This window comes from Homo sapiens, chromosome 21 (genome assembly GCF_000001405.40).
Source record: "Homo sapiens chromosome 21, GRCh38.p14 Primary Assembly".
NCBI lineage: Eukaryota > Metazoa > Chordata > Mammalia > Primates > Hominidae > Homo > Homo sapiens.
In genome coordinates this window covers 5,996,580-6,006,016 of record NC_000021.9, presented here as the reverse complement: position 1 = coordinate 6,006,016, position 9,437 = coordinate 5,996,580, and the positions used below count along the sequence as shown (strand labels likewise).

At 40.7% G+C, this 9,437-nt stretch overlaps 1 annotated feature.

Moving 5' to 3' along the window:
* Positions 1 to 9,437: part of a sequence alteration artifact (region identified as an assembly artifact by the Genome Reference Consortium. This region falsely duplicates sequence located at GRCh38 chr21:43376890-43571979) that runs on past both edges of the window.

The window sequence follows — 9,437 nt, the reverse complement described above, 5'->3', positions numbered from 1 at the left end:
TGTAGAGACGGTGTCTCACCACACTGCCCAGGCTGGTATCAAACCCCTGGGCTCAAGCAATCCTTCCACCTCAGTCTCCCAAAGGGCCAGAATTAGAGGCATGAACCATTGCAGCCTGCCAGGTTTTACATTTTTTAAGGGTAATTTTTTAAAAGTAAAAACCAGAAGAATAACATGCAACAGGGACTACACGTGGCTCTCAAAACTCAAAATATTTATTTGGCCCATTACAGAAAAAGTTTTTTGACCTTGCCTACTGCCCTCCACACAATGTCCAACACTGAAATCAAAAATTACAATGAAGAGGCAATGGAGGCCAGGCGCAGTGGCTCACACCTGTAATCCCAGCACTTTGGGAGGCCAAGGCGGGCGGATCACGAGGTCAGGAGTTTGAGAACAGCCTGGCCAACATAGTGAAACCCCATCTCTACTAAAAATATAACAATTAGCTGGGTGTGGTGGCGCACGCCTGTAATCCCAGGTACTCAGGAGGCTGAGGCAGGAGAATCCCTTGAACCCAGGAAGCAGAGGTTGCAGTGAGCTGAGATTGCGCCACTGCACTCCAGCCTGGGCAACAAAGTGAGACTCTGTCTCAAAAACAAACAAACAAACAAACAAACAAACAAACAAAAGAAGGCAAAGGAAACAAAAGGCTCATTGTCAAGTGACAATCAACAGAAGCAGACACACAGATAACCTGGAATAATAATACAGGAATTTCAGAAAAAGAATCTGAAATAAATATGATCAATAGATGGGAAAACACTGTTTTAAGGTACTTACACTATACCTGAAGCAGCGGATTATTATTTAAAGGTAAACAGTCATGCAATGTATAACATTTCAGAGAGCTTCATTGTCAAATTCTATCAAAAAATTAGAACAGAAATAATAGAAATTTTAAACAAGTCTTCCAGAAAACAGAAAAGGAGGAAATAAGTCAACTTTTTTTTATGAGGCCAGAATTACACTGACACCAAAACTAGATAAAGATGTTAAAATAAAAGAACAGACCAATATCCCTCATAAACAAAGACACGAAAATCCTAAACAAAAAAATAGCAAATTGCATTCAGCAATATATAAAAAGGATAATACTTCACAGCCAATAGACACTTATTCTAGGAATGGAAGGCTGGCTCATTATTTGCAAATCAGTCAACATCACCTACCGTAACAACAGACTAAAGAAGAAAAAAAAAATTATCTCTTCAATAAATGCAGAAAAGCCTTTTGACAAAATTCAACATCTGTTCATAACAGTAATAATAATAATAAACCCTCAACAAAACAGGAATAAAAAGGAACATCCTGAACCAGATTAGGGGCATCTACAAAAAACACACAGCTAACATCATACTTAATGATAGAAGACTGAATGCTTCTTTCCTAAGATGACGTACAAGGCAAGAATATCCTATCACCCCTATTCAAAATCATACTAGAGATCCTAGCCTGTGCAGTAAGGCAAGAAAAAGAAATAAAAGGTTTATTGATTAGAAAGGCAGAAATGAAACTGTCTCTATTTGCAGATGATATGATTGTCTATACAGAAAATCCCAAAGAAACTAGAAAAAAAGTTATTAGAACTAATTGAGTTTAGCAAAGTCACAGAATACAAATTCAACATACAAAGGTCAATTGTATCCACATACTTATAACAAAAAATTAAAAATCTAATGTTTTTTAAAAATTACCATATATTATATAATAGCACCAAAACATGAAACACTTAAGTATAAATCTCATGAAACTATGTGCAAGATTTCTATGCTGAAAACAACAAAACACAGATATAAGGATCCACAGACATATAGATGGAGAGAATATGCCATATTTATGGACTAGAAGACTCAATATTGTTAAAATGTCAAATCTCCTCAAATTCATCTATATAATCAATGCAATGCCAACCAAAATCCAAGTTGAAATTTTAGCAGAAATCAACAAGTAATTCTCAAATTTATTTGGAAAAACAAAGGAACTAGACCAGACAAAACAATTTAGAGAAAGAGAAATGTTGGGGAATTGCAGTACTAGATTTCAACATTTATGGCCATAAAGAGTGTGGTACTGGTCAAGTGACAGAGCGACAGACAAAGAGATAAGTGAAATAAAATTAGAGGATCCAAAAACAGACCACAGCTTTGTGAACTCTCAACAAAGGTATACATTCAATTCAATCAAGAAAGAATAACCTTTACAACAAATGGTGCTGGAAAAATTGAACATCCATATGCAAAAACAAAGAACTTCAATCTATACCTTGCCTAACATACAAAAATTATACAAAAATTAATAACATACCTAAATGTAAAACCCCAAATTTTAAAACTTCTGGAAGAAAACAGGAGAAAAATCTTTGTGACCTTGAATTAGGTAACAATTTCCTAGACACAAAACCAAAAGCATAATCCATACAACTAAATAATTTATTAGCCACACCAAAATTTTAAAAATCTGCTCTTCAAAAGACAGTCACAATGAAAAGACAAGCCACTAGATGAGGACAAAACATTTGCAAAACACGTATCTGATAAAGGACCTAAATCCAGAATACACATACATCTCTGAAAACTCAGTAACACAACAGCCCAATAAAAATAGGGAAAGTGTTTGAAAAGACACTTCACCAAAGGAGATACACAAATGGCAAGCACACAAAAAGATGCTCAGCATCATGGCTATTAGAAAAATGGAAATTAAATCCATACCTATTAGAATGGCTAAAATTAAAAAATAAAAATCTGAAAATACCAAGTGTTGACAAGAATGAGGAACAACTGGAATGTTCATAGATTAGTGGTGAAAATTTAAAATGGTACTGCCAGGCCAGGCGCAGTGGCTTACGCCTGTAATCCCAACACTTTGGGAGGCTGAGGCAGGCAGATCACCTGAGGTCAGGAACTTGAGACCAGCCTGGCCTCCATGGTGAAACCCCATCTCTACTAAAAATACAAAAATTAGCTGGGTGTGGTGGTGCACGCCTGTAATCCTAGCTACTTGGGAGGCTGAGGCAGGAGAATCACTTGAACCCACGAGGTGGAGGTTGCAGTGAGCCGAGATCGTGCCACTGCACTCCAGCCTGGGCAATAGAGCGAGACTCTGTCTCAAAAATAAATAAAATAAATAAAATAAAATAAAATAAAATAAAATAATAAAATAAAATAAAATAAAATAAAATAAAATAAAATAAAATAATAAAATAAAATAAAATAAAATAAAATAAAATAAATAAAATGGTACAACCACCTGAGACAACAATTTGGCAATTTCCTATACATTTAAACACATACTTACCACATAACTCAGCATATGAGTTATATGCTGAGATAGTTTTATGTCACAACTCATACAATTGTCTACTAACAAGTGAATTTTGTTCTATGTAAATTATAACTCAACAAATCTGGCTTTATATTAAAAATAAGAAGAAGGCCAGGCTTGGTGGCTCACGCCTGTAATCCCAGCACTTTGTGAGGCCAAGGTAGGTGGATCACCTAAGGTCAGGAGTTCGAGACCAGCCTGAAAAACATGGTGAAACCCTGTCTCTACTAAAAATACAAAAATTAGCCAGGTGTCATGGCAGGCACCTGTAATCCCAGCTACCTGGGAGGCTGAGGCAGGAGAATCACTTGAACCCCAGAGGCAGAGGTTGCAGTGAGCTGAAATCACGCCATTGCACTCCAACCTGGGCGACAGAGTTAAGACTGCATCTCAAAACTAAAAAAAAATAAAAATAATAATAAGAAATTAGATCCCTGGACCCTCTCCCCTATTCCCTGCCTCTGGAAAAATGCCCTTCCCTAGTAGAGACTGGACATTTCTTTTCTTTTCTTTTTTTTTGTGAGACAGAGTCTCACTCTGTCACCCAGGCTGGAGTGTAGTGACGTAATCTCAGCTCACCGCAACCTCCGCCTCCCAGTTCAAGTGATTGTCCTGCCTCAGCATCCTGAGTAGCTGGGATCACAGGCACCTGCCACCACACCCAGCTAATTTTTATATTTTTAGTAGAGACGGGGTTTCATCATGTTGGCCAGTCTGGTTTCGAACTCCTGACCTCAGGTGATCCGCCCACCTCAGCCTCCCAAAGTGCTGGGATTAGAGGTGTGAACCACCCCACCTGGCCTGGACATTTATTTTCTAAAGAATCTCTGGAGGTGAAACATCAGGCACAATTGAGGATGGAGGTTCTGTCTGGAAAACATGTGGATTAGATAAACACATACCTACAAGCTCTAAGACATTCCCTCTATCTCTACTTTGTTTCCGGAGTTTATAGGCCTTCATCCCTCCAGAAATAAGGGTGGGTGAGTCTTCTCCAGACAATCTGAACAACCCAAGACAACACAGTCGAAGATACTGACCTATGGGTTCCCAATTAATTGATGCACCAGCTCACACTGCAGAAAAGTTCAGAAGCTCCACCCATATGCTCACAGCTTCCAATCGGCATTATAAATCCCACTGTTAAACATGACCAGACAACCACACATCACCAGACACCTGAGAAAAAGATAAATGGCTATCATTTTAAACAGGAACAAAAGGAGGACAAAGAAAAGAGATTGTGCAGTGAGAAGAAAAGTTTTAAAAAACTATTATTAATATCTTCCTCAAGGAGGTAAAAGAAGCTATATCATCTGTTAAACAAGAATGGGATGCTATTTTTTAAGACAATTAAAAATAAACAGCAGTCTTAGAAATTAAATGCCTGAGAGTAGAGATGAAAACTTCAATAGGAAGTATGAAAAAAGAAGTTGAGAGTACAGATGTCCCCTCTTATCTGTTGCTAAAACTTTCTGTGGTAGTGCCGGCATGTGTCAAATACAATCAAACTTGTTCCTGTCAGGTGCTTTCTGACAGTGGCAAAGCTCTCAGGGCACACACTGAGCATTCCCTCCTCCTATGGGCTTCCTGGCCACCTCCAAAGCACATATGGATTCTGGACCATGTCAGCCACATCTTAGGCAATGCCCCAGGCTCCTTGAGCACCTAGGAACATGGAGTCATCGAGCAGCAACATAAGCCCATTCTTACAAGCTTCAAAGAACAAGAAGGCAAAAAAAAAAAAAAAATCTTCCTTGACCCCAAACTGGCCTCCAGTTCTGCCCAGTTCTTGACTCCCTTCCCAGGAATATTACAAGAGTGGTCTGTTGTTGCTACCGCCCCACCTCACCTTCACCCTTCAGTCACGCTACCATCTGCTCACTGCTGAGACAGCTTCTCTCAAGGTCACCAATGTCCTCCATGTTGTCACTGCTCAGCTTTCGTCTCACTTGACTCCTCTGGCTTTTCTTGGCTTCCATAGCACTCCTTCACCAGTCCCTCCTTATACTTCTCCTTTAGATGCTAGCCCAGGGCTCTGTCCTAGGCTTCCTTCTCTTTCTACTCTCCTTAGGTGACTTCGTCTACTCCATGACTTCAAATCCCATGTATCTACCAGTGACTCTAAATCCATTTCTCCAACCCCAGCCTTTCCCTGGAATTCCAGACTTCATAGCCACAAAAACTTGCCTGGACAACTCCCCTTGGGAATTTACTGCCAACTCAGGTTTCACAAGGCCAACACCCAACTCCTGATTCTCTGTGCTCCTGCCTCATCTTCCCCATCTCAGTAAACAACGTTACCATTTACCCACCCAAAGATGCAGGTATTCTCAGTAAACAGCATTACCATTTACCCACCCAAAGATGGCAGGTATTGTTATTGATTCGTCTCTTCTCTCACATCACATCTTATCAACTCTACCTCCCAACACGCCCTAAGCCCATAACCACCACCCTAGTCTAAGCTATCCTGCTTCCCCCAGACTACTGTAATAGCCTTCTTGGTGGCTTGCTTATTTAATTTTGCATTCTTGCCTCTTCCTACCCCTATCCATCTGCCATGCTGCAGCTAGAATTAAACTGTTTGTTTGTTTGTTTCTTTCTTTGTCTGAGACAGAGTCTGGTTCTCTTGCCCACGCTGGAGTGCAGTGGCATGATCTCAGCTCACCGCAACCTCCGCCTCCCAGGTTCAAGTGATTCTCCTGCCTCAGCCTCCCGAGTAGCTGAGACTACAGGCACATGCCACCATGCCCAGCTAATTTTTGTATTTTAAACTTTTTAAACAGAAATCAGAATACACACCTTCCCTGCTCTCCCACAGATCCTCACTGCACTCATGATGGAGACCCAAGTCCTCGTTCTGGCTGATGAAGCCCCGCCAGATCAAGCCCTCCTGCTTCCCGGCGTTCCCCTCGTATCACTCATCCATCTGCACCATGCCCCAGGAGCGCCAGCCTGCTCTGCATTTTCTTAACCAGAATGTTCCTGCCCCAATCTTCACATGTCTTGCTCCTTTCAAATCTCACTCAGTAGAGCAATTCCAGCTCCAACATGCTGAGAACTAAGCTCCGATTTTTTAAATCTTGCCCAAATTCCTACCTAAGGGGTCTGGGGAGTCATGCCCTACAAACCATGGATTCTCATCAGATGAGTTGTATTTGACCCTATATATTGTGACTTACTTTTCAATCTGACTCTGGCATAACATTATGAGACAAGGACAAAATATTTAACTCCAAAATATATTTCCTTGCCATGCCCTGAAATTGCCCTGCAAAGTCTTTTGTGGGAAAAATCCACATTCTACAGAGAATCCCCTTCCTCTTTTATTTTCCTTCCTTTCTTTGCAGATCCAGGAGATAATCAATTAAGAGCCAGGCACCCTTTTAGGTCTGATAAAAAACAATTTACAACCTGCTCTCTCTGAAGTCTGCTATCTACGGGCTTCCTCTGCACAATAAAACTTGGTCTCCGCAATCCTTTATCTTTAACCTGAACATTCCTTTCCATTGATCCTAGGTCTTCAGACAACCTCAACCAGTTGTCACCCAGAAAATGTTTAAATTTACCTATCACTTGAAAGCCCCTGCTTTGGGTTGTCCACCTTTCTAAACTAAACCAACGTAATTCTTAAACATATTTGATTGATGTCTCATGCCTTCCTAAAATACATTAAACCAAGCTGTACCTCAACCACCTTGAGCTGAATGTTCTCAGGACTTCCTGAGGGCCGTGTCACAGGCCCTCATTATGGTCACTCATAATTAGCTCAGAATAAATCCCTTCAAATATTTTACAGAGTTTGACACTTTTTGTCAACAATGCAAAGAGCTTAGAAATCAGCACTTCCATCCTTCACTAAGAAAAGCAGAACAAACAAATCAATGACTTTTCTTGGACCCATCAAAGAATTAAGGCCACCATGAAATCTGGAGAGTCACAACAAGATCTGCTTCCCTGGAGGAAAAGCTGCTGTAGCCATACCGGTGGGAACATTTAAATGACAAATTGTTGGAAGCTGAGGGTGGACAACCATGAGAATCAGGAACTCCTGGGGGTCGCAGTCTTAGGGGGGCCCCATATTTTTGTGGATTTTGTCTCTAGGAACCCCATGAGGTTCTCAAAGTGCGAAGAAAGCTCCCTCGTGGCTCTGGCAGGGGGACAGGAAGAGTAGCCATTATGAATACACCCTGTTTCCAGGGAAAGACCTCACCAGAGCCTTATCTCACCTAAAGGGAAGGGCTTTTCTCCCACTCCAGGCCTCTCTGCCATCCCTGACTTACCTAAGCAGGGGAGGGGGTTAAGAAACACTTTTGAAGACCAAAGCCCAGAGACACAGGCCCACTAAAAGATTGAGATGATAAATACTTCTCCTCTCCACACACACCTTAAATCATACCAACAGAGATGAGAGAGCATAACACGCAACAGGGATTTTTAAAACGGTATTATAGCTGAGAGAGCTGAAAGACATCAATTCCATCTAAGGAGGAATTCTTAGGGAAACCCAAAGGGAAGAGGGGAGAATAAACAAGGATGCTAGAAGAGTATAAAGCCTCTGTCCCCTACAGTAAACACAGCCCAACTCCTAGCCAGATTACCAAAACACCTCACGCTAAAGGCCTATTTTCCTCAGTCCCCATTACACAATAAATCATGTCCAGCTTTCAACCAAAAATTGCAAGGCATTCTAAAAGGAAAGAAAAATCACAGTCTGACGAGACAAACCAAGCATCAGAACCAGCTGCACAGATGACAGATTTTAGAAGTATCAGATAGGGAATTCAGAATATCTATGATTAATATGCTAATGGCTTTGTATTAGTTTGCCCAGCCTGCCATAACAAAATACCACAAACTGGGTGGCTTAACAACATGAATTTATTTTCTCACAGTCTCTAGAGGCTGGAAGTCTGAGATCAAGTTCTCAGCAGGCCTGCTTTCCTCTGAGACCTCCCTCCTTGGCTTGCAGACGCCACCCTCTTGCTGCCTCTTCATGTGGTCATCCCTCTGTGCACACAGGCCCCTGGGGTTTCTCCATGTATCTTCATCTTCTCTTCTTATAAAGACACCAGTCTCACTGGACTAGGGTCCACCCTAATGGCCCAATTTTACTCTAATGAAAAGTCCCTATCTCTAAATACATTAACATTCTGAGAGACTGAGGGTTAGAACCTCAACATATAAATGGGGGGTGGGGAGGGGGAGAACACAATTCAATATATAACAAATTCTAATGGCAAAGTAGAAATATGAAAGAACAGATGTATAATATAAACAGAAATGGAAATTCCAGAAAAGAATCACATTTCAGCTTACATATTCTCTCCTCACAGAGGCCATCCCTTATCGCCCACTCATTGTCAAGCCCATTAACCTATTTTAGTTCTCTCAATAATAGTTATTCTATGAAATAGGAATAAGTGTTCTTCCTTAGTCTGAAAGCTTCATGAAAGCAGAACATTGGCTGTGTTGTTCACCACCTTACAGTAAGGGCTCAGTAAATATTTGCTAAATGAATGGAAAGGATTTATTTTATGTGGCTAAGGCTGATGGGATACAAGGGACACAAATGATAAGGAAATTTCTGGACAAATTGCATCACTAGTCAAGCTGAAGAGATAGCTATGTGAGCCCCCTGAAAGGGTAAAATAAAACAGGCCACTTTATCCATGAGACAAATGCTGTCAAGGGCACAACCCAAATGGAACAACCTCATGAGGACATCATCCTAAGGAAAACATGGAACAACTTCATGAGGACGTCATCATAAGGAAAACACTACAGCAGGGTGACAGCCTTTGAGGGGAACACAGACGAAAAGAATGTGAATGGCTGATAACGCACCAAAACTCTGCTCACAACATAGGTAGAAGAATAACACAGAGCTCAGGTCTAATCATGAAAAGCCTCATTACTTGAGACTGAGAACATTTACGATAGTCATGGCTGAACTTTGGGTTTAAAGACACATGAGGCAACTTAAATGAAAAAGAAAATTGCCTGACATCAGCAGAAAGATGACACAGATGTTCAAATTATCTGATATGATTTATGGTGGTTTTAAATCGGCCATCAAAAAATTTCTTTAGTGAGCAACTGTGCTA